Below are 26654 nucleotides of genomic sequence, written 5' to 3' on the forward strand. Positions count from 1 at the left end.
GAAGGATATGAACAGACACTTCTCAATAGAAGACATTTATTTATGCAGCCAAAAAACACGTGAAAAAATGCTCATCATCACTGGCCATCAGAGAAATGCAAATCAAAACCACAATGAGATACCATCTCACACCAGTTAGAATGGCGATCATTAAAAAGTCAGGAAACAACAGGTGCTGGAGAGGATGTGGAGAAATAGGAACACTTTTACATTGTTGGTGGGACTGTAAACTAGTTCAACCATTGTGGAAGTCAGTGTGGTGATTCCTCAGGGATCTAGAACTAGAAATACCATTTGACCCAGCCATCCCATTACTGGGTATATACCCAAAGGATTATAAATCATGCTGCTATAAAGACACATGCACACGTGTGTTTATTGAGGCACTATTCACAATAGCAAAGACTTGGAACCAACCCAAATGTCCAACAATGATAGACTGGATTAAGAAAATGTGGCACATATACACATGGAATACTATGCAGCCATAAAAAATAATGAGTTCCTGTCCTTTTTAGGGACATGGATGAAGCTGGAAACCATCATTCTGAGCAAACTATCACAAGGACAAAAAACCAAATACCGCATGTTCTCACTCATAGGTGGGAATTGAACAATGAGAACACATGGACACAGGAAGGGGAACATCACACACTGGGGACTGTTGTGTGGTCTGGGGAGGGGGGAGGGATAGCATTAGGAGATATACCTATTGCTAAATGACGAGTTAATGGGTGCAGCACACCAACATGGCACATGTATACATATGTAACAAACCTGCACGTTGTGCACATGTACCCTAAAACTTAAAGTATAATAATAACAAAGAAAATACAATTGAGGAAGCTCTGTCCTTAATGGAGGTATTTTGAAAACTCTTTTAAGGATATTTTTTAAAGGTCTGAATGAATGGAAAGATGTAGCACTTTGAAATGTGGTAAGGCTTAACATGATAAAGTTGTTAATTCTCTCTCAAAAAAAATTAAAAATTTTCTGTATTTCTAATTAAATTCTTAAGATGGGAGATGGAATCTGATTAACTAATTCCAAAATTTTAGGGAATATAATCATTTATAAAGAGGAACTATTTAAAAAATACTAGCCCTAGTGTAAATTATTGAAATAAAATATAATTGTAAAGTGCAATATCAGTCAAATAAACCAATCAAAAGAAGTAGATACCTTAGAAGCAGACTTGAAGTTTATTATAGGTTAATGGTACCATCAGAAATCAGAAAATTATATTTCGTAAATTGTATCAAGAAAATGGTTTCACTATATTGAAAAAAACCCAAAGATTCCTATCACACACTACATACTAAAGTTCCAAATGCATTAAAGACCTTAATACGAATATTGTAACTAAAAGTTCAATATAAAGACATTTATAATTTCCTTATGACCTCACATCAGTAAGTATTTCTTAAATAAGACCTCCAAAGCGATTCTCCTGCCTCAGCCGCCTGAATAGCTGGGATTACAGACGCCTGCCATCATGCCTGACTAATTTTTTCTATTTTTAGTAGAGATGGGGTTTCACCATGTTGGCCAGGCTGGCCTCAAACTCCTGACCTCAAGTGATCTGCCTGCCTCGGCCTCCCAAAGTGCTGGGATTACGGTGTGAGCCACCATGCCCGGCCAATAAATCCAATTTGTTTAGGAGACTGGATAAGTTAAACTTTGTATATTCATAGAATGAAATACATGCAATTCTCAGACATCATGAACTACATTTACATATAGCAACATGATTAGATTTCAAAAAACAATTTTGAATGAAAAAATTAAGTATGTAAATTAAAATAAATACAAACACTAACTCATAACTATATATCTTCCTAGTCCACATATATACATAAATACATGTATTGAATAAGAATTGAAACACTGAGAAATAACTAGTATGGAATGGGTGCGTATGGGAAAAGAGGAAGGAGAGTATGGATGGGAAATAATTTTTTTTTAAGTATAACAAAAGAGTTCTGTTTCAATATGACCAAGTAACTTGTGACTCTCTTTCAGATTGCAATGTTCAACTCTGAACGAAATGCCAAAAACAAGTACCTGAAGGCTAAAGACAGTGAACAAAAGCAGGCAAGTTTTGGTGGGAAGATGAAACTTGGAAGAAGGTGCCATTAAGAGGAGGTAAGTTTCCTGGTTTTGATGTGTTAGCCTGAGGGCAGTCTACTAGCAGAGTAGCTAAAACACAATAGAAAGCCATCTTTTTTTTTTTTTTTTTTTTTTTTTTTTTTTTTTTTTTTTTTTTTTTTGGCTTGAACAACCTGAGAGCAGAGTCTGCAGCAACACAGTCACTGGATGGAGGGGGAAATCCCAGAACAGAGGCAGAGAAGGTCATGCCGCAATTTCTGAGTATGAACTTTGCTTAGATCTCTAGCTGACCCCTGAGGCACACCTGTGGGGTAGACCCAAAGCAATCTGCAGCTAGTCAGAACTCAACTGAGATGTGATTTACTTATAACCACAGGTTGGGTCAGTTTGCAGTTTGAGTTGAACCAAGTTAATCGATTGCCTGCCATAGCAAAAACATCGACACTATTCTGAGGAGTAAAACGGAATCCGTGGTTTCCACAACATAACAGTCACAATTCAAAATTACTCAGCATAGGAGGAACCAGAAAAAGGCAGTCCTTTGCAAAAGATAAGACAATTAATGGAAGCCAACCCTGAGATAACATAGATGTTGGCCTGATCAGACAAGGACTATGAAACAGCTATTATAACTATGCTCAATGAGGTAAAAGAAAATATGTTGTAATGAATGGAAAGATAAGAAATCTCAGCAAGGATGGAGAAATATTTAGAAATGTCGATGAAAAGAGTCAAACTCTGTAAAATATTTGAATAGATTTATTCTGAGCCAAATATGAGCGACCACGACACGTGACACAGCCGTCAGGAGGTCCTGAGAACATGTGCCCAAGGTGGTTGGGGTTCAGCTTGGTTATATACATTTTGGGGAGGCATGAAACATCAATCAAATACATTTGAAAAATACATTGGTTTGTTCCAGAAAGGCAGGACAATTTGAAGTGGGGGGGATGGTGCTTCCAGGCTATAGGTAAATTTAATCATTTCTGGTTGACAATTGGTTGAGTTTGTATAAAGACCTGAGATTAATAGAAGAATTTGAGCAAGATAAAAAATCAGAGCTTAGTCCTCAGAAAGAACCAAACAAATTTTACAAAAGAACCAAACAATATCTGAGATAAAAATATATCTCTTAATTCACTATGCTAAACTGCCTCCCTGCTTCTCAATGTTTATCTGTTAGATCAAGTTTATGTTTATCAATTGTGTTTAGACCTTATCTCCATTTACTAAGTTAAGGTCTTTTTGATTTATAAGTTTCTGAAAGAGGCATAATAAAAATTCCCACTATGGCTGTGGCTATATCAATTTTAGCTTGTAATTCTGACTGTTCCCACTTTTGTATGTTGAGATTTTTTGCTAGGGTCATTCACATTTATGATTATTATATCTGCTTTGTAAATTGTTCCTTATGTAGCATCTCACTTTATCCTTATTTATGTCTTTTCTTAAATTCTATTTTCTTTACTTTTTAACATCAATATTTTGTCAAAATTTGTAGAGTAAAATGTTTAAGAAAATCAAGGAAAGAAAATATGAGCCAGAAATTTTATAAGAAGACAAACTGACCTTTAATTATAAGAGTCACAGGCAAGTTCTAATGAAAACATTAGAATTCAGGGACTATTTTTCCCAGATCGTTCCTAAGGAATCTACTAAACAGCATGAACATTAAACAACCAACATAATTGAAAAGTTTGATATGAGGATTTATGGTAAGGATGAATCATATATTTATTTACAGAAATAAGTCTAAATTATGCTTACAAGGAATAGAGAATAGTATGCAATGGTTGTGTGCTCTGACAATGTAGATACAGTACAACTATAAAAAATTGGTGGGGGAGTGGGGAGAGCTATGAAAAGCAGAATTAGCTTGTCATTTGCCTTATAGTTATTAACTGAAGTAAAAGGACATTACTTCAAATCAGATGTTGAGGAAAAGGGAGAGTTGGGGCAAAAGAGGTTTATAGTTACTTTCAATATTGCTCATTAGAGGGAAGCAATAGTCATTTACCAAGAAAAAAGTAAAGAAGGGTTATATAATGGATTAAAATAAACATAATCATTAGAACAAAAATATAAACCTCACTAAATCACAGTAAAAAACAAGCAAATAAACTAGACCCTATGAAGACATGAATATATATGATTATAACACAAAACAATATGTCATACTGACACCAAACATATTTACCACATCAATAAATATAAATTAGCTTATCTCACCAATTAAAGTATATTTTCAGGTCAGGTAAAGTGGCTTATGCCTATAATCCCAGCACTTTGGGAGGTTGAGGCAGGAGGATCACTTGAGGCCAGGAGTTTGAGACCAGCCTGGGCAAATATGGCAAGACTGTCTCTACAAAATACATAAAGAAATCACTTTGGGAGGCTGAGGCAGGCGGATCAGTTGAGGTCAGGAGTTTGAGGCCAGCCTGGCCAACATGGTGAAACTCTGTGTTTACTAAAAATACAAAAATTAGTTGGGCATGGTGGCGGGCAGCTGTAATCCCAGCTACTCAGGAGGCTGAGGCAGGAGAATTGCTTGAACCTGGGAGGCAGAGGTTGCAGTGAGCCAAGATTGCACCATTGTATTCCATGCACTCCAGCCTGGGCAACAGAGCAAGACTCTAATTATATATAATTATATATATTATATATTAGCTAGATGTGGTGGTATGTGCCTGTAGCCCCAGCCACTCAGGAGGCTGAGGCAGGAAGATGACTTGAGCCTGGGGAGCCATGTTTGTGCCACTGCACTCCAGCCTGGGGTACAGAGTGAGACCCTGTTTAAAAAAAAAAAAAATCTTTTTAGATTGGTTAACAAAGCCAAATCACTGTGGCTTACATAAGAGACATACTTATGGCACAGATTCAGAAAGATTTTTTAACAAAGAAGAATGGTACTTAATAATGAGAGATTAAACACTTCCCCAATATTGGAACCAGTCAAGAATGTCCTCTTTCACCACTCCTATTCAACAATGTAGTGGAAGTCCTAACTAGTACAATAAAACAAGAAGGAAAAATAAGAGACATACATATTGGAAAGGAAAAAGTAAAGCTGTTTTTATTAACAAATTACATGACTGTCTACGTAGAATCTACCCAAAGAATCTATAGAAAATTCTTGGAACTACTAAGTAAATATAGCAAGGTTTCAGGACACAAGTCAATATATAAAATTTAATTGTTTTGCTATATACTAGCAATGAACAATTGGAATTTGAAATTACAAAAAAGAAAACCATTTACAATAGCACCAAAAAAGTGAAGCACTTAAGTATAAATCTAACAAAATATATACAGGATCTGTATGTAGAAAGCTGTGAAACATTAATGGAAGAAATTTTAAAAAATCTAAATAAATGGAGAGAGATTCCATGTTCATGGATTGGACAGACTAAATATTGTTAGGATGTCAGTTCTTCCCAACTTGATTTATTGATTCAATACCATTTCAATAAAAATCCCAGCAATTTTTTTGTAGCAATCAACAAACTGACTGAAATTTTATATGGAAAGGTAAAGGAACCAAAATAACTCAATTCTGAGAAAGAAGAACAAAATGGGAAAAATCTCATTGTCCCACTTCAAGGCTTATTACAAAGCTGCCGTTATCAAGACAATGCAGTGTTGGTGAAAGAATGAACAGATTAATCAAGGGAACATAATAGAAAGCCAATAAACAAATGCATACAAATATTATCAACTGATTTTTGACATAGGCACAAAGGCAATTTGATGGAAAAATGAGTCTTTTCAGCAAATAGTGCTGGAACAATTAGACGTTCATACATAAAAAAATGAGCCTAGACACAGACCTCACAATTGACAGAAAAGTTAACTCTAAATGGATGACAGACCTAAATAAATATAAAATCTAAAATTTCTGGAAGAAAACACACATGAAAATCTGTGTGAACTTGAGCTGTTGATGAGGTTTTAGAAATAATATAAAAAGCACAATCCATGAAAGAAAAACTGATAAGTTAGATTTTATTAAAAATTAAAGCTTCTGCCCTGTGAAAGACACTGTTAAGAGGATGCAGAGATAAGCCATAGAGTGTGAGAATATATTTTAAAAACACTTATCAGGTAAAGGACTTCATCTAGAATATACAAAGAACTCTTAAAACTCAATAATAAGAGAAAACAATTTTAAAATGTGCAAAAGATCTGAATGGACACCTCACCAAAGAAGAGACACGCATTACAACTAAATATATAAAAAAGACACTCAATTTTATTCGTCAGGGAGACAAATTAGAACAGCAATGAAATACTAATACATATCAATTAGAATGGCTAAAATTTAAAAAAAAACCTGACAATACCAGTTGCTGGTGAGAATGTAGAGCAGTAGGATTCTCACTCATTGCTGGTGGGAATCCAAAATGGCACAGCTACTTTGAAAGACACTTTGATAATATCTTATAAAGCTAAACATAGTCTTACCATTCAATATAGCAGTTTTTCTCCTGTATACATATCCAGTTGATTTGAATGCTTATGTCCACACAAATACCTGCACATGAATGTTTATAGCAGCTTTGATCATAGTTGCCCAAAACTGGAAGCAACCAAGAGCTCTTCAGTAGGTGAATATAGATAAACAAATTGTAGTACATTGATACAGTGGGACAATATTTAGCAATAAGAAAAATGAGCTATCAATCCATGCAACAACATAGGTGAATCTTAAATGCATAATGCTAAGAGAAAGAAGCCCATCTGAAAAGGCTATGCACTGTATGACTGCATTACTATGACATTCTGGAAAAAGGTGGTTCTATAGAGATCAAAAACCAATCAATGGTTGCCAGAGATTTGGGGAGGGGAGAAAGTTGAATAGGTGAATCAGAGGGGGACTTTTTAGGTCAGTGAAATTACTGTGTATGATACTGTTGTGTATACATGAAACTGCAAAAGCTCATTGAATCTTATAACACAAAGAGTGGATCTTTTTTTTTTTTTTTTGAGACAGATTCCTGCCCTGTCTCCAGGCTGGAGTGCAGTGGCGTGAACTCAGCTCACTGTAACCTCCGCCTTCCAGGTTCAAGCGATTCTCCTACCTTAGCCTCCCAAGTAGCTGGGACTACAGGGGCACACCACCACGCCCAGCTAATTTTTGTATTTTTTTAATAGAGATGGAATGTCACCATGTTGGCCAGGATGGTCTCGATAGCTTGACTTTGCGATCCACCCACCTCGGCCTCCCAAAGTGCTGGGATTACAGGCATGAGCCACTGCCCCTGGCTGAGTGAATCTTAATGTATGCAAAATAAAAAAATCAATAAGGAGATTGAGGGACTAAATGGTAGAACACAGTGTTTTAACTGTATTACAAATTTAACTGTATTACAAATGTATGACATAACCTTGCTGGATAAAAGTGCTGACCTAAGCTGCTTTGGAAATTAATAGAGTCTGTAAGGCGAAAGACAAAAAGAACTGCATATAAGCACTGTACTCTCAGTTAACAATTCTGAAACCATTGTATGTGTATGCTGGGAGATGAACAAATAAGTAAATAAATAGATGACAGATGGTGGGAGCCAGATTCCTCATGATTGATGTGGTAGGTGAAGGCTAGTGTGTGAACCATGTAGTGATAGATGAGAGAAATATCAGTATGAGCCCATGTTTAGCTTAATATAGATTGAAATGGATATTTTACATATAATTATAGATATGCATGTATTACTGGCTAGTATCATACATATATATATTTTTTCTTTTTCTTTTTTTTTTTTTAGAGATGGGGTTTTGCTATGTTGACCAGACTGGTCCCGAATTCCTGGCCTCAAACGATCCTCCCATCTCACCCTCCCAAAGTGCTAGGATTACAGGCATGGGGCACCATGCCTGGCCAATATTTCTGAGCGCTGTCTTCTGAGAGGGCCTAGAAGCAAAGACACCCCAATAGTAACAAACAGAGCCAGTGTCTAGATCTTTGTTTCCAATACCATTCTCCAGTGAAAGGAATCAGGGCTCCTTGGATAAACGGCTGATTCTAGGGCTGGGGCAGGGAATATACAAGATGAGCCTAAAGCATCTTGTAGTGTCGGAAAGCAAGAAATGCTCAAAAGAAGCAAACAAACAAAGGAACACAGGAACCAATGGAAAGAGCTCTCAATGGCCAAAGTAGAACAATTTGAGTAACAAAATAATGTACTGTTGGATTATGTCCCAAAGTATGAAATAAATATCTATGAATTCACACTGATGTAAATGAATGATTGAATAAACAAATATGTAAGGGATAATAGACAAATCTCTTGTACAGAAGAATTCCAGATAATGTATGCAGATTCTCCCCACTCAAGGAGATGGAACAGAACTGCCCAATCCTTAAGTGTGGAATTGACCTAGTGACCTCTTTTGAAAGAGTACAGTAAAGAGCAGGGTGGGGCAGAAGGAAGAGTAATCTTACTGTGGAGAAACCTGATGAACATCAGCTCAGCCAGGTGATCAAGATTAACATCATCAGTGATGTCATATTGACAGCATGCATCCTTGATGTGATGTGATGAGTGGAAGACCACTTAGCTCTGTGATCTTCCTTCCCTAAACCCATGAATTCTGTTTAACCATGAGAAAAATAACAGACAAACTAACATGGAAGGACAGTTTACAAAATACCAGACCACTGTTCCTTAAAACTGTCAATGTCATCAAAAACAAGGAAAGTCTAAAGAGAAGTGACAATGAAATATAATGTTGGCTGGGTGCGGTGGCTCACGCCTGTAATCCCAGCACTTTGGGAGGCTGAGGCAGGTTGATCACTTGAGGTTAGGAGTTTGAGACCAGCCTGGCCAACATGGTGAAACGCATCTCTCCCAAAAAATATAAAAATTAGCCGGGTGTGCTGGTTCATGTTTGTCATCCCAGCTACTCGGGAGGCTGAGGCAGGAGGATCACTTGAACCTAGGAGGCAGAGGTTGCAGTGAGCCGAGATGGCACTACTGCACTCCAGCCTGGGTGTCAGAGCAAGACTCTGTCTCAAAAAGGAAAAGAAATGATGTAACATGGCACCCTGGATGGGATTGTGGATGAGAAAATGCATATTAGGTAGAAATTAAGGAAATCTGAATAATATATGGACTTCAAATTGTAAGTATCAGTATGGTTTTATTGGTTATGCTACAATAATGTTGAAATGGAGGATATTGGGTACAGGGTATAGAAGAACTTCCTGTAATATTCTTACAATTTTTCTGTAAACCTGAAACTAACCTAAAGTAAAAAGTTTATTAAATCTTAAGAAAATCAGAGATTGAACAATTAAATACCACATTAAAAAAAAGGGAAAGGAAATCTTGGTATCTGATAAGGTAACATTCATAACCAAAAAAGTATTAAGAGATGAAGCAGGATACCATATATGCAAAAGGATAATTAAAACACAAGCAATGAATATTTATGCACCGAGTACAGAGATACATGCTTAAAGCAGAAAATATAAGAGATTCAAGAATACTTAGAGAAATTCACTTTAAGGATAGCCACATCTAATATGTGACTTATTTATAGCATGCCAAGTGAACAAAGTTAGTAAGGCTATTAAAGAACTAATAACCATAAAGACAGATCGTGTAGATATATACTGAACTCTGAATTCTAATAATAGAGAATATAACTTTAGAGGAACATATGAAACCTTTACAAATATTCTCTATATCTTAGGTCATGAAGAAAACCTCAATAAATGCTAACTGGTAGAAATAATAATAAAGGCAGCATTCTTATAATGCAGGTATTTAATAGAGATTTATGAAATAAAAACCCCAAATACCATTCCACTCAGAAGTTAAAAATGTTTCTAAACAACTCGTGACTCAAAGAAAAATATAAATAAAATCAATTGGGTATTTTGAAAGTAACTATAATTAATGCATATTATGTTAGAATCTATGAGATACAGCTAAAAGAATTATCAGTTAAGTTTATAGCATTAAGTACCTATGTAAATGAGGAGATAAAACTAAATGAATTAAACACCCAGTTAAAAAGTTAGAAAAAGGAAAACAGAGTAAATCAAAAGAAAGAAAAAGGTAGGAATTGATAGGAAGGTAAAAGCAAAAGTAATGCATTAAAATACAGAAAAATAGTAGAAGAAACAAAAACCTGGGTTTTATTTTGAAAGAATAAAAAATAAAAAAATAGACAAGCCACTAGTGAATCTAATCAATTCAAAAGGAAGAAAACACAAATATGCAAAATTAGACATCTTTGAGGGAAAACCTGAAAAGGGGGAAAAGTTTAAAAGTAACAAGATGATTTTCACAATTTTAAGCAAATACATATGAGAATCTAGATAAAATGGATAACTCAGAAAATACAACCTATCAAAATTGACCTGAGTGACATTAAAAAAATAGAGAATAGTGAAAAAAGTAGCAGAGCACTGCTACTGAATGCACAAAGCCAGGCTGATGGAATTCTACCAAACTTTAAAGATCAGTCAATCCCAATATTACTTAAATAAGTTCAGAGCACTAGAAACAAATAAAAACAAAAAGCTTCCAAATCAATTCTTACGAAATAAGTATAATGTATTTTCCAAAACCTAATATTGTACCAAGAACTTTAGATTTATGAATATTGAGATATACATCTTAAATAAAATATTGGCAAGCAATCCAAATGAACATTACACAAAAATAATACATCATAATTCAGAGAGTTTTATTCCAGGAATACACATTTTGTTCCGTTTTTAATGTAATTCTTCACATTAATACAGCTAATGTGAGGAATTACATGATTATCTTCATAAAAGCACAATAGGACTTTGACAAAATTAGTACTGATTCATGTTGAAAAACACAACAGAAAGAAATTTATGGATTTCCTCTACACATAAAATATATACTTTAACTCAAAAGCTTGCATTTTACTTAAGGGAAACACTAAAGGCTTTGTCACCAAAATCAGGAACAAGACAAGGATGCCTACTATCTCATTACTTTCAACATTGGGATGGAGGTGTTAGCTAATGCAGTTAGAGAAGAGAAAGCAATTCGAGACACTGGAATTGAAAAGGAAATAAAAATAATCTTTATTTTCAGATGCAATTGTTATTTATCTGAAAAACCCCAAAGTATCAATGGAGAAATGACTACAAATAATAAAAGAATTTAGTAAAATAGTAGGAAATAATATATAAAAAAATAGCTTTTGTGTATATAGACAAAAAATAGAGAGAAGCTAAAATGGAAGTGACAATCCAATATATGGCAGCAAAATGATAATAAAATACTTAAGTGTACATTTAGCACACGTGTCCAAGATTTATATGAGGAAAACTCACAAAACACTACTGAAGAAAACAAAATTGAACAAATGTAAAGGAAACCATGTCCTTGGATAGAAAAACTTAACATCATAAGGATGTTGTTTAGTCTTCCAAGGTTAACTTATACATTTAATAAAATCACAATAACAATGTCCTAAATATCTTCTGGGTCAGACAGGCCAGTTAGAAAGTTCACTTGAAAGGATAAGTGAAAGAGAATAGTTACAAAACGTATGGGGAATAGAAAAGCCAAAAGTGTTGGGTGTGGGTGGGATTAGCTCTACTAGATATTAAAACTTACTTGTAAAAATCTTTGTAATTAAAGTAGGATGGTATTGATGCATGAATAAAAAGACAATGTAACAGAATTGAAAATCAGAAATAGACCTCATTATATATACAAATTTAGTATGCTACGGAGGCCGCACTCAACATCAGTGAGGATATAGAATGGAATTTTAAATAAGAAGATTAGGATAATTGGAGAGTCATATGGAAAAAGTTAAATGAGATTGATGTCTTATATCTTTCAACAGCGTAAATTCCAAGTGGATCAGATATTTATAGACAATGTAACTATACAAGTAAAAAAATAAGAAAACATGGATGAATACCTGTATAATCTTTGAGCGGGAAAAACTTTCTAACTGTGACTTAACACACAGAAACATGTTATAAGGGAAACAGTACTGCTAAAAAAATAACTTTTGCATGGAAAAGGAAATCATAGACACAATAAAAAGATAAAATGACAAGCTGGATTTACATGGCCAGATTGAGTGTTTAAATAAGTTATTTACTGATGAGGAAGTTGGTAGCTTTAACAAGGGCCATTTTGGGAGCGTGTGCAAGGTCAAATCCTAATTGGAATGGACTGAGGATGAATGGGAAATGAAGAAATAGAGGTTGTTGGTGTCCACAATGCCTCTAAGGAGTTAGGTAGAGAGAGAGAAGATAGGGCAGTAGTTGAGGTGGGGGAGGAGGGGCAGGACTAATGGAGTGGGACTGACTTGAGGCACGTCACACAGGTGAGGGCTTACTGTGTGATCTGCATCAAAGGTGATTTGCTCCTACCTTTGTGAAGTTCTGAGAAATTATAAAAATCATCCAGGTTACTACTGAAAAAGAGATCAAGATCAGCAGCGTTTTTTGAAGCATTGTATTTGAGGACATGACGAATGTCCTAGGAGAGATGACACAAGAGAGGAGTCGTGAGAAGTGAATCTCTCTGTACTCACTCATTATTTTATTTATAACTTGTAATTTGCCTCCAACATTTTGTTCTCCTTTTGTGAGTCACTGTCTTCTTTCCCTCTGCTAACTAACAACTCATACCCCCAATCCCTTTGTCTACCTATTGGATACTTCTTGTCGAGGTTTCACTCAGGATTGTTGCTTCCTCCTTCCAGGACCCTGAAATGGAAGTCAAAGTCACCTTATAGGTTCTCTTAATGCCCTCTGTATTTTCTTAGTTACAAGACATAACAATTACAATGAGAAGCAGAAAACTTAATTCATCAGCATGTCTTTTGGGGGAAGATTAGGGATAGTGGATGGAACCACAGGAATATGCTCGTATTACAAAACATAATCTGTAAAATGCCTTTAAAGAAAGCCAGTCCTGTTAACTGGGCAGGGAGGTGGGATGGGTAGCTTTTGTTTTGCTGAATGCCAAGTCTGAAATTTGGAAATGGAAACTCCTTCAGGAATGAATTACTCTGCATAATAAAGAAGAGATGATCCAATAAGGCTGGGCACTGTGTGAGGAAGGGGGAAGAAGGAGATAGAAAGAGACAATGAGGGAGAGAGATGGAGAGAGAGAGAAAGAAGCTCCTCCATACCATGCCCATGTTAGTACTGTCATGGAGAACAGAAATAAAATTATATGATTTAAATAGCTTATTTTAGGAAACAAAATGTAAAGCCTTGCCTCTTTGTCCCTTACCAAATCCTCAGTGAAGTCTCAATTGTGTGAAAGGTTTTGTGTGAGTGGTTTCGTTTTGTGGAATCCAAAAAGTTCTGTGTTTTGAATCTGGATGCGCAGAGCAATTTAGATACTTCACAGGCAAAATGGAAGTGAGAGAACAAAGGATCAGTTTAGAGTTGGTTAACCTTTGGGAAGTCCAAGATGAAATTATTTTAAACAAGATATAGTACACAGTTGCAACTCATATTGAATCACTACCTTCTGATTGATCTATGACTTCCCAATTACTGAAGCGTGGTGTGAGAGAACTTGTAGAGGTGTTGAGTGTTGAGACCAAATGAATGAATACAGAAGAGAAGACAAGGGGCAGCTCTAATTTGTGTCACACACTATATTGCAATAGATTATTTACTTTTTGATTTCCAAAAGACTGTCAATTTCTGAAGAATTGGAATAATGTCTATCGCAGCATTCCATGTCCAGTGTCTAGCATGGTGCCTGACAAGCACAATATTTGTTGAATAAATAATTTCAAAACAGAATCCCGATTTTTAGACCAACTTCAACTTCTGTCCACTGAAATTTCATATTTTCTCGGAATGTACAAAAAGCATGTTCAATAGGACAAAGAAGAAGAAATCAATCAAGGGGCTACTCTGACCCCTCCTGCCCCCGAGACTGATCCAGGTTTTCTGACTTTTAAGTGAATTTTGTAAAGTATGAGTTATAATGTCTCATCTGATTCATTTTTCCTTGCCTAGAAAGTAGTGCGTATGGATATGTTTCAGCAGCATTGAAAAAAAAGTATGATTGCTATTGCACTTTTATAAATCTTAGATTCTCAATCTCCTTTTCATAGATCTTTAAACTTATTCTGTAAAATACTGGGTACTTACCCAATAGGTGTCAGGTAGCACAGAATGCACTGAAAATAAGGAGAAGCAGCAAAATTAATGAAATAAACATTTATGTTGGATTAGAATACAGTAGTAGAAATACCAAATTCTTGTTGATCTCTGAAGAAACCTTGTTCTTCTAAGCTCCTGAGTCTTTGCCCAAGCTGTGCTTCCTGAAATTCTTATTACCTCCTCCCTCACTGCACCAACACTGCTCAATCTCCACCATGCTTCCTGGTAAACTTAGAAAATTCCTATTCATTGTTTGGGTTTGAGCTTTAATGCCAACTGTTCTTTCCTCAATCGTTTTCATTGATAATTTATTCCTTTGTGCTCTTATAGTCTCGTATGCATATCTTTGTAATAATATGTGCTATACTGTTGTATCTCCTTATGTGTCTGTGCCTTCATTAGACTGATGGACATTCTAGAGGAGATTCCCTCGGAGAGTCCCTCATTCGAGAGGAGAATCACCTCAGGCTGAATCTACCTATCTTGGATTGCTGATATGTCACAAGATCCCAGTCCTGACAACCAAGCAGTTCTGTGGTTCATATCCCTGGTCTGATATTTCCACTGATGCACTACCAACTTTGGTTAGAGTTGGCTCCTTTGAGAGTGGCCAGAGAGCTTCTTTGTCAGACGGAATTTTACTGATGGCAGAGTTTTGGAAATTTATTAACCCCATCCTCTATACCATGCTTATTTTTGCATCTATTTTCTACTTGGAACCCTTAATCAAGATCACATTTGTCTAAGCCATAAGTAACTGCAAATCAGACTTCTTAGAATCCTATGGCCAGATAATCTCATTTATTCCGAAATCAATGTCTCACCTAGATTCTACTCCTTAGCTTGAGCTCTGCATATCCCAGTGTCTTTAAGATGCCTCCATTTGGAAATCCTCACTGGTAGAGGTGAGCTGAACCCAGCCTTTGCTGGCTTATGAAAGCCTATTCATGCACATTTCTTTCCAACTGCTCATTCAGTGACATCATCTTGGTAGCTTGAAATAGGCCATGATGGGTACATTTAGATCGTGGAAGTCATCAAAGGCTATAAACAGGATTTTTGTTTTTGTTTTCTGGGAGAGCAGGTTTGTCAGTATACCCCTGCTCATAGGAATCTCAAAGTCAACTTGTCCAATTGCAATGTTTTTTCTTCTTCCAAATGTCTTCTACTTTTTCTTCTCCCCATCTTTGTGAATGGTATCCCAAATCAGAAACTTGGCCACTATCTGACTCACTTGTCTCCTCTCCTTATGCTTCTATATGGTCATCCTCAGACAGGATTGAATCAATGTACAGAGCCCGCTAGTTGTCTCTTTCATCAGCTGTAATAGAAACTTGTAGCTGGACATGTGTTAGCCGAGATACACAACCTTTCCTGGCCTCTATTGTATTTGACTGTGGCCAGGACACTGAGTTCTCTGATATGTAAGCAGAGGCCATGTGTGCCATACCTCCTCCAGGTTCTCTTTCCTCTTCCTACTTGTGTAAATGAGAGGGGGCAGCAGCCTAGCTTAGACCACAGAGGTGATGACAATATTCCAGAACAGGGGGTTCTTAAACATTCTTTGTGACATGGGCCCTTTGATAATCAGTCCTATGACCTCTTTTCCAAATACATAAAATAAAATGTATAGAATTATAACAAAAGCCAATTATACTGAGGTATAGTTATCAACATTTTAAATAAACTAATTTGTTATATAGTCAAATAGCATTTTTTAATTAACATGCTAAATAACAAAATTTAGCAGCCAGGTCTTATATTTACAGTAATTTCAAAGCAATAATAATTATGAGTGATATTTCAAGATTCTTTATTAACAGTACTGTGATATGAAAATAATCTGTGACTTCAAGTCGCTAAGCCACAGGCATTGCTAATATTACCGTGATTTGTTGTCATAATTCATAATTGAAGAGATTACTAAACTTTATTTAGAAGCTAGTGAAAATAAAGGTGTTATTTTTTTCCCATTCAGGTTCACAGGCCTCCTAAACTCTGTGCATGGGCCCATTTGTGGGCCTGCCAACCCTAGAATAAGACCACTGGCAGGGGATAGCAGAGCTTGATGTTTACCTTCCTGGATGACCTCAAGGTGCACACCCTAACTAGATAGTTACATGAGACATAAATCCCTATCTTGTTTTCTTGTTTAAGTCATTGCATCTTGGGAGTCCTTTTTTTTTTTTCATGGCAGTCCAGCCTGTCTACATCTACCTATTAAGTATCTCTTCAATTTGTGGTTCTTTTTTTTGTCATTACTGTTGCTGTCTGGTATAGATATTTCTGGGGCATTAACTGGGAATTGTTTCAGTTTTGTTTTTACAGCATTACTGAGGTATAATTTACATTCAATAAGAATACATGATTTTTTTTTTGAGATGGAGTCTTGCTCTGTTGCCCAGGCTGGAGTACAGTGGTGAGATCTCAGCTCACTGCAACCTCCACCTCCCGGGTTCAAGTGATTCCCCTGCCTCAGCCTCCTGAGTAGCTGGGACTACAACAGGTATGTGCCACCATGCCCGGCTAATTTTTTATATTTTAGTAGAGACAGAGTCTCACCATGTTGGCCAGGATGGTCTCGATTTTCTGACCTTGTGATCTGCCTGCCTTGGCCTCCCAAAGTGCTGGGATTACAGGCGTGAGCCACCACGCCCAGCCAAGAATACATGCATTTTAAGTGCACTGTTTTATGAATGTTGGCAAATGTAGACACCTGTGTACCCATCACAATCAATAAGTAGAATATTACCACCACCCCAAAGTTCCATTTCCTTGTCAATTTTGTCCTCCTCCTGTGCATGCCCCGCTGCCCATGCCTAACGTGTTTCTGGCCCCGGATAATCACAGATTTAGTTTTTGGCACTACAGATGAGATTTCTTTTTCTAGAGTTTCATATAAATGGAATAATGTAGAATGTACTCTTTTGTGTCTGGCTTCTTGGACTTATGATTATGTTTTTGAAGATTCATCAAGGTTGCATTTATCAGTAGTTTGTTCCTTTTCATTATTGAGCAATATCTCATAATATCTATTCCTCATTTGATAAATATTTGGGTTGTTTAAAGATTGGGGCTATTGTGAATAGAGCTGCTCTGAATATTCATATATGGTTCTCTATATGGACAAATGTTTTAATTTCTTTTTGGTAAGTACCTAAGGGTGGAATGACAGGGCCATATGGTAAGTAAATGTTTAACTTTTGACAAATCTACAAAAAGCCTACTGGAATTTATTGCTCTTAATCTGTAGGTAAATTTGGGGAGAATTGCTCTAGTAACAATATTGAGTTTTCCAATTCATGAAAACAGTTTATACCTCTCAGTTTGAATTTATGGAGAGTTGGTTTTATTTACTTTAAGGTGGGTCTTGAAAAGCCTGGGCTTTTTACACCACGTTCCTCCTTTTTACTGGAACTCAAAACCTACAAACTCTGTTTCCTCCTTCAGTGAGCAACAGATTAAATCTCTACTTATTCAGCAGTTGTTCTGTGCTACACTTTGTGGAGTCTCCCTTGGATACACAGAGCTCAGGGATCAGTCAAAGATTTGAGAGTAGATTTCAGGGCTTTTTCTTCTAAGGCCTTTCTCCTGGAATTTCCCTGGTCAATTGCCTTGAACTCCATCCTGTGACATCTCCAGGCTGCAAGTCTGCAGTTTTCTGCTTGAATTCAAGTTGCTTTGCACAGTACACACTGAGGTATATTGTCAGGATAAGAGCCCTTAAAGCTGGCTCCCACGCAGCATGATTCCCTACTTTTAAGTGTCAAATTCCCTCTAGTTTCTGCCAGTTTTTGGCCTTTTTCTAGTGCTTTCATATCATTTTTTAAAATGTATTTTTTTCCAGAGTTTAATACTGTTCTATGAGAAATATTAGTCTCATCTAAGCCACTCTGACATTTTTTGCAGCTGGAACTTCCTAGTCCATTTATATTTCATATTATCGTTGATATATCTATGTAATTTTATCTTACTATTTGGTTTTTATTTGTCCCACCTTCTCTATTTCTATTCCATTTTCTCCCTTTTTGACTTTTTTTTTTTTTTGAGACAGAGTCTCACTCTGTTGCCCAAGTTGGAGTGCAGTGGCACTATCTTGGCTCACTGCAACCTCTGTCTCCTGGGTTCAAGCAATTATAGTGCCTCAGCCTCCTGAGTAGCTGGGATTACAGGCGTGAGCCACCACACCTGGCCAATTTTTTGTAGTTTTAGTAGAGACGGGGTTTCACCATGTTGGCCAGGCTGGTCTCGAATTCCTGACCTCAAGTAATCTGCGTGCCTCAGCCTCCCAAAGTTCTGGGATTACAGGCATGAGCTACCGTGCCCGGCCCCCTTTTTGACCTCTTGTGTATTAGTCAAAAACTCTAAAATTATTCTATTTCCATTCTCATTTAGCTTGTTATAAAAACTACTTTAATAATTTCTACTCTATTTTGGAAATTTCAATATGCATCTTTGACTTAATGAAGTCTAATATAAATTGGTACTTTTACTAATTATTAGGAAATGAGGGACCTTAGAAAACTGTACTCCATTTACATTTAACTCTTTCACATTTTCTTGCTATAGTCAGGCATTTCAGTTCTAGAAATATTTATTTTATTTCTTTTAGAGATGGAAAAGAAATATGCTGCCTAGGTTGGACTGGAACTACTGGGCTCAAGTGATCCTTCTACCTTAGCCTCCCATGTAGCTGGGACTATAGGCACTCACCACTGACTGGTTTAATTCTAGGAATATTTAAAACACCACAATATATTATATATAATACATATATATATATATATATATATATATATATATATATATAAAATCCTTGTTCATTTATATTTGTACATTTAGTTTCCTTCTTTTTCATTCTTCTTTGCCGTTCTCTACTGTCATTTGGGAGAATTTATCTTCTGCTTCAAGAACTATCTTTAATATTCTGTAAGACATCTTCTAGTGACAAATTCTCAAGGTTACATTTTAAAAAATCTTATTTTGCTTTCATTTTGAGGGTTTCTTTTGCGGGCTATACAATTCTAGATTGACAAGTGTTATTTATTTATTTTTGTTTTTGGTGGTTAAAAGCATCAGCACTTTGAATATGTTACCTCATTTTCCTTCTATTTCCCTAACTGCCCTTTGTTCCTCTCTTGCTTTCTCTCTAGAATCTAGATCTCTCAACCCCTCACTGCCCCAGTTGCTCTCTGACGCTTAACAGATCAAATATAACATCCTCTAGCTTTTCTAGTTGCTCTCAAAAGGAGACTATAAGCAAGTCTACTATTTTGGGAAACATAAATTTTATTTATAATTATAAATATAAACTATACACACATCTATGTATATGTGTTTATGTGTGTGTGTATATATATATCCATATATATGCACATTCTATATGTTTTTCTTTTTATTTCATTTTCCAAACAAATATCTGTGGCTGATGTGTAGAAATGCAAGTGCTTTATTTTAATAGTGCTTTTATATAGGCACACATAGAGAACAAAGATGATTAGAAGTGGCCATATTGGGTACGTTTGCCTTGTTTTCATAGTTAGTTTCAACATTTTACTATGTGTAATTAAATATATGATGTTGGATTTGTGATATTTGCTTTTCTTAATGCCTTCTATTAGATTGAGGAAGTTCTCTTTTAAGAAAGTTTGTGAAGTGTTTCTATTACTAATGGAAGTTGAGTTATTGACAAAGGCCTTTTCTGATTCATTGAGGTAATTATATGAATTTTTAAACTTTTATGTTTAAATGTGATGTATTACATTCGTATATTTTCTAAAGCTAAACAATCCTCCTGTTATGGACTTAAGCTGAACTAGGTCACAATATAGATTGGATCTTTATACATAACTCTGCTGTGCTATGTAAGAGTACAAATTAACATGATCGTTTTGAAAGCAGAATGGCAATATTTCTGTTAGTTTGTGTTTATCTATGCCCTATGTCCAAGCAATTCATTCTGGATACATCACAGAGGACTTCTCAGTCAGGTCCATAAAGAATCACATACAAAGTTTGTTTTCAGTTGATTATATGTATAGCTGTAATTGTAGGGAATTAAATAGACTTTAATATGTATTACTATGAAATGGTTAAGAAACATGTAGTGGATGTGTATTGTGGGATACTATCCAACAGTTAGATACAACTCACTAGATTTACCTGTAATATGAAGAGCTCTTAAAAACAGCTCTAAGTGAAGAAAGAAATAAACATAAATCTTTATCACATTTTTATGTAAATTAAAAATATACATACAAAGCACAATACATGGATACACACATACTCAAAGACAAAAATTAAAAAAGAATCCTTCCTGCTTTTCTGGCTTTGTTTATGACTCATCCTACTGCCCACCTGGGGTGGCCTGCCCCTGCACCAATCTAGACTCTATAGTCAGTGAATCCCCAGCTCAGGGGCAATCTCTACAGGAAACTTTCCAGCATAACTCTAGACCACAACGATCTCTCCCGTATTTTGAATTCCTGTGACATATTCATACATTTTCCACCCAAACAATGTCATACATAAAACAAGGCAAAGAAATATCAGTTGTAAACAGGTATTTTTGATGTCCTTCTTCCTCTCTCCAACTAGATGTTAGGTTGAGTGACTGTATCCATGCTTGCTTCCCACAAAGCACTGGGGACTTTTGCTGGTTGGTTATTAGAGAAATATTTTATCTTGATGCTGTCTCACCGTCAAAACCAGCCTATCCTTGTCAGTAAGAGAGGCTCTCACTATCAGTTTTTTTTTTTGTTTCCCACACTTTCTTCTGAGCTTTCTCCCTTTTCTTATCTTTCTCTGACTTGAGAGAACCCCTCAGCAGACACAGTCTTTCTAATTTCTTTTGCTTTGTTCTTCCCTGCCCTCCACTGACCACTGGCAAGATTAGAAATAGAGAAAGGCAGTCTCCATAGTTTTGCTTACTCACCTGTTTTAATGATCTCTCCTATCTGGGTGGCTGGAAAAGTACCTGTGAGTTCTTAACTGGCTCTTGTGGCTGTGTAAAATGTTTTTGTTCCTTGTCTGTGAACACATTTATTTTCATCAGTCTGTTTTCCTCGTAAATTGGCTTATCTTGGGGTGGAGATTTGAAGAGGCAATAAACAGTAGTACAATTAACTGACAATTAGATAATTCCACAGCCTCTGTTAACTGGGTGTTACTCGGGTATTCTTTGAGATTCCTTCTCTCTCCATGTTACTGGTGACCCTTGGGAATGGAAAACCTCTTAGTTCTGAAACAGCTGTGGTCCTTGAAGTCATAGTGTAAAAATACCCCAAGTGACTCTATGGATAGGCTTTCCTCAGAAAATCTGAAGTCTCACGACAACTCCAAACAAGAGAACAAATTGTCAGTGGACACCATGCAGAGAACTGGTGGGTGATTGAGAATTCTTTTTTTTTCTTTTTTTTTTTTTTTTGGACAAGGTTTTGCTCTGTTGCCCAGGCTGGAGTGCAGTGGCGTGATCATAGCTCACTGCAACCTCGAACTCCTGGGCCCAAGCCATCCTTCTGCCTTGGGCCTAGGGGCTACAGGTGCATGCTGCCACACCTGGCTAATATTTTTAATTTGTATTTTGTAGAGATGGGGTCTTACCATGTTGCCCAGGCTGGTCTTGAACTCCTGGGCTCAAGTGGTCTGTCTTCCTCGGCCACCCAAAGTGCTGGGATTACAGGCATGAGCCACTTTTCCCAGCTGGATCTTTTATCGGTTTGAAAAGGATATCTAATAAATGGGGAAGGACTATTTGCTCTGAGTTAGGGAAAGGGGATATGGTTCATTAACTCGTCATTATCATAAACATTATTTAATTCACCAATACAGTAAATGTTGCTGTAACTTCTGCTATGCCAAATGCCTGTAACATGAAAGGGAATATATGGGTGTATATGAATAATTAGGCCTATTAATCCTTCTTTCCCCTCTAACCCCTGGTCACCACTGGTTTTCTTACTGTCTCCATGGTTTTGACTTTTACAGAATGTCACATAGCTGCAATCATACAGTGTGTAGCTGTCCCAGATTGGCTTTTCTCTTAGCGATACGGATTTCAGTTTCTCTGTCTTTTTGTGGCTTGATAGCTTATTTCTTTAGTGCTGAATAATATTTTACTGACTACATATTGGAGACCTTTCTCTCATGCCTCATGCCCTTCCCTCTGGAACCTTCATATTTGTCATGTGACTGTTACTTCAGCTCTGTAACATAAATCTAACTTCATCTCTCTTTCTAAGCCTGGATGCCCAGACCCTGTGCCAATTTGTAAGATTTAGTTTTGAAGATCACAAGTATTATTAGTACTGTGCTAAGTACTCATAGGATTAAATGAATTAATACATGTACAACATTTAAAAACAGTTTCTGACACTTAGTTTAAGCACTAAATAATTAGCAACTACTACTATCACCACCCCAACTACTACTATTTATGCATGGGAGTAAATTTTGAGATTGGCTTTTTTCTCCCACTCAGCGTAACGTCCACGATGTCCATCCAAGTTATTGCATGTGTCAACAGTTCATATGAACATATTGCCTCACTCACAATTAGGCAATATTGTTTGTTACCTTGGTTTCTTTAACCAATATTGTTTCTAAAACCTACTCCTCACTACTCAATTTGTTTCTTATCTTGTAAAGTCTTTGGTAGCTCTTTCAGAGGGGACCAGTATTAGACTGAGTACATATTTTTTCTTCCTAAATAGATGATAAATTTACTTGCTATAGAATTAGGTGAAAAATATTTTTCTTCTTAGCCTTGAGGATACTGTTTCATTCTCTTCATGCATCCAATGTCATTTATGAAATGTCTGATGTCAAAGTTAGTATAATTGTGAATCTTTGTAGCATTTTTCTCTTCATCCTTGGTATTATGAAATTTTATGCAGATCTTTTTATCTTCATCATGTTTGGCGCTTTTAATGGCCCATTAGACCTGAGATCTAATATCTGTTAACTTTTCTTTCATAATTTTGATCACACTTTCCTTTTATTCTGTATTCTGCAAGAATTCTTGAGTTAACATTTTATTTCTCCAGTTTATTGTTTTCATTTTGAACTTTAGTGTGTCCCTCAAGTTTTTCTTTATTTCACGTATCATATTTTAAATTTAACAAATATCTAGTTAACTCTAAGTATGGCTGCAATATCCTCTCACATCAGTCTGGTAATTAAACACACTTATTCTAAATTCTTGTATCAACTGTCCTTTTAACTTTGTTTTCTTGGCATGTCAATTTCTTCTGATTATTGTGCTTTATGCCTCTCTTTCAAGTGTTAGTCTCTTTCAAATGATTGGTAATTTTTGGTTATGTGTTCATCTTTGCATTTGAAATTTTCTGCTAGCCTCCCTGTAAATGTTGGGTTTATTTATTGCATTTTCTTCTGGGAGAGTGGTTAGAAATATTTCCTGGTGCTGAGTGCCAATATCCAGTCTTCTGAGAGTCCATGCTCTCTTCTTCCCTCTTGGGGATTATGCACAGCACTGCTCTGTCTTCCCAGCCCTTGCACACATTCTCAGTGCTTCCATATGATATGTGGAGAGGTCATACCTCATGGCTGTCTCTGTTAAACTCTGTGTCCACCTTTACTGATTTCAGTAGGAATCATAGGAAAAGACAGAAATACTATTATTTTACATATTTCTCATCAGGATATCCAACAAGTTCTGTTTGATATCAAACATAAATCCTGGGACTATTTAATTATGCCATTTTCCTAGACTCTGTAACAACTTTCACAACTGCATCTGTAATCTCTCTTATTTATTACTATCCAGAGTCAAGTTGACTTTACAGAAGTAAATTATCTCTTTCAGTCGTTGTATCCAATCACACAAGCTAAAGGAAAAAGTATACTTAATGACTCATATGAGTGGGAAGTCTTAGGAATTAATCTAGCTTCAGATAAGGCTCGATCTGTGGTTCAAACAATGTAATCAAGCTTCTCTCTAAGCCTGTAGGCTCTCCTGTCCTATTTTCTTAGAGATGCTTGCTCTCAAGATAATGCAGCAAGATAGTCCTAACATGCTTAAGCCATACATGGTCGTTGGTGTTCAAGATCTCAGAATGAGAGAGACCCATTTCTTTTCAGAATTTATATTAAGTCACAGAAAAAAACCAACAACTCTAATCAACTGTGCTAGTACCAATCACTTATGAAGGGTTTGGGGGAAGAGTGTTTTGATGAACCAGTAGGCACCAAAAATAGGCAAAAATCACATGATTGAGAGTCTCAGAGTCTCAGTAGCATGCTATAAAGTGGGGAAGGTACAGTTCTCCAGGAAAAGAGGGGCCCTCTTTCTGGAAGTAGGAATATTAGTCACAATTCAGCAAGAGATGTTCAGTACAAGAGGCAATAAAGATGAGGGCAAATAAGAGGGTGAGTCATATTTTCTGTCACTAATCCCTCATCTCTCTTTTTATCTCTCAGGAAGCTTTTCTGAAATTTTACTTTCTCCTCATATGAGTCATATAGGGAATTTACTTATTGATTCATTCATTTTCTTATTTACTTCCAGTCATTTATTACATGCCTGCAGTTGCAAACTTGAAAATAACTGGGATGCCACGTGTGGACGCTTATCTCTAAAGTTTGGGATTATTTTAATTAACTCCTAAAAAGCTTCTGCACAGCAAAGGAAATAATCAGCAGAGTTAACAGACAACCCACAGAGTGGGAGAAAATTTTCACTAACTATGCATCTGACAAAGGACTAATATCCAGAATCTACAAGGAACTCAAACGAATCAGCAAGAAAAAAACAAACAGTCTATCAAAAAGTGGGCTAAGGACATGAATAGACAATTCTCAAAAGAAGATTTAGGAATGGCCAACAAACATATTGAAAAATGCTCAACATCACTAATTATCAGGGAAATACAAATCGAAACCACAGTGCAAACCACCTTACCCCTGAAAGAATGGTCATAATTTAAAAAATAAAAAATAATAGATGTTGGTGTGGATGTAGTGAAAAGGGAACACTTTTACACTGCTGGTGGGAATGTAAACTAGTACAACCATTGTGGAAAACAGTATGGAGATTCCTTAAAGAACTAAAAGTAGATATACCACTACTGGGTATCTACCCAGAGGAAAAGAAGTCATTATATGAGAAAAGACACTGGCACACACATGTTTATGGCAGCACAATTAGCAGTTGCAAAAATATGGAACCAGCCCAAATGCCCATCAATCAATGAGTGGATAAAGAAAATGTGGTATATATATATCATGGAATACTACTCAGCCATAAAAAGGAAGGAAATAATGGCATTCGCAGCAACCTGGATAGAGTCGAAGCCTATTATTCTAAATGAAGTAACTCAGGAATGGAAAACCAAACATCATATCATATGTTCTCACTCATAAGTGGGAGCTAAGCTATGAGGACATAAAGGCATAAAAAGTGATCCAGTGAACTTTGGGGACTTGGGGGAAAGGTTGATAGCGAGGTGAGGGATAAAAGACTACACATTGGGTACAGTGTACACTGCTCAGGTGATCAATGCACCAAAATCTCATAAATCACCATTAATCACAAATAATCATCCTAAAAAAATAAAGTTTGGGGATTATTTATATATGAGTAAGATACATTCCCTGCCCTCATGAAATGTATGATTTAATTGTAGTGTTATATGTGTCTAAATGCAGATACATAAATAACTATTTCTAGCACAATACAGAATAGCCATATGAAAATGGTGCAGGAGTGCACAGAGAGGGGGTGGTTGAGTATGCCTACACCACCTGGGACTTGACTGACCCAGATCCCACCTGGGATCTGGGACTTGAAGGGTGACTGAAATCTCATTGGTTGGAGAAAGCCATGAGGGATATTCTTTCCATAAAAAAGGAACAGCCAGGACAATGGATTGAATGCAAGAATATATGTTTCATATGATCTTTAGCTAATTCTGGAAAGGAAAATCCATTAAAGGGCCACCTTTAGAGCCTAATTTATTGTGGGATATAGGAGTTTGAGCTATTCCAGAAGACCTCTTGTTTTACTTATAAGTTATTTCTATACTCTATAAAAGATTATCTCTCTAGTTGGATAATGAATACTTTCCAGGCAGGAAAAAATCTTATTCATCTTTATTTTTCCAAGCATGCCAAGCCTTTTCCAGGAACCATTTGTATTGATATCATTGTCTACATTCCAGAAGAGCAAGTCTTTCCTGGCAACAGGAACAGTACAGCGAATAACAGATGTCAGGATTCTCCTATTTTAAAGTTTTAGCCATCAATGGAAAATATTGAAAAACATAATTTGTCCTTAAATTCTTCATTTCTGAGTCAGAACATCAAAAATATTTGTGATATACTTCACATGGGCTTTTGCAGGCTTGATGAATTTTGGGGCCTCTCTGTCATATTTTGGATATATTCTCCT

At 36.2% G+C, this 26654-nt stretch overlaps 2 protein-coding genes across 12 annotated transcripts in view; one reads left to right on the forward strand and one right to left on the reverse strand.

Moving 5' to 3' along the window:
* The window catches only part of NXPE1 (neurexophilin and PC-esterase domain family member 1), a 40948-nt gene extending 19682 nt beyond the window's left edge, over positions 1 to 21266 (reverse strand). For 2 of the 10 annotated variants that reach the window (NM_001367953.1, XM_047426373.1), the window contains exons 1-4: positions 21183 to 21266; positions 14237 to 14265; positions 12768 to 12826; positions 12488 to 12596 (exon numbers count right to left, since the gene is read on the reverse strand). In NM_001367953.1, coding sequence (NP_001354882.1) covers positions 12488 to 12586 — 99 coding nt within the window. In that variant the 5' untranslated portion in view covers positions 12587 to 12596; positions 12768 to 12826; positions 14237 to 14265; positions 21183 to 21266. Of the gene's footprint in view, positions 1 to 12487; positions 12597 to 12767; positions 12827 to 13358; positions 13471 to 14236; positions 14266 to 15072; positions 15915 to 20410 lie in introns of those variants that run through there. The other 8 variants (NM_001395504.1, XM_011542596.4, XM_047426371.1 and 5 more) reach the window with 8 other exon arrangements.
* NXPE2 (neurexophilin and PC-esterase domain family member 2) overlaps positions 1 to 26654 on the forward strand; it is a 349427-nt gene that overhangs the window by 74340 nt on the left and 248433 nt on the right. For both annotated transcript variants that reach the window (XM_017017209.2, XM_017017207.2), the window contains one exon: positions 2023 to 2145. The gene's annotated coding sequence lies outside the window, so the exon portion shown is untranslated. The remainder of the gene's footprint in view (positions 1 to 2022; positions 2146 to 26654) is intronic.

This window comes from Homo sapiens, chromosome 11 (genome assembly GCF_000001405.40).
Source record: "Homo sapiens chromosome 11, GRCh38.p14 Primary Assembly".
In the NCBI taxonomy this organism is placed as follows: Eukaryota; Metazoa; Chordata; class Mammalia; order Primates; family Hominidae; genus Homo; species Homo sapiens.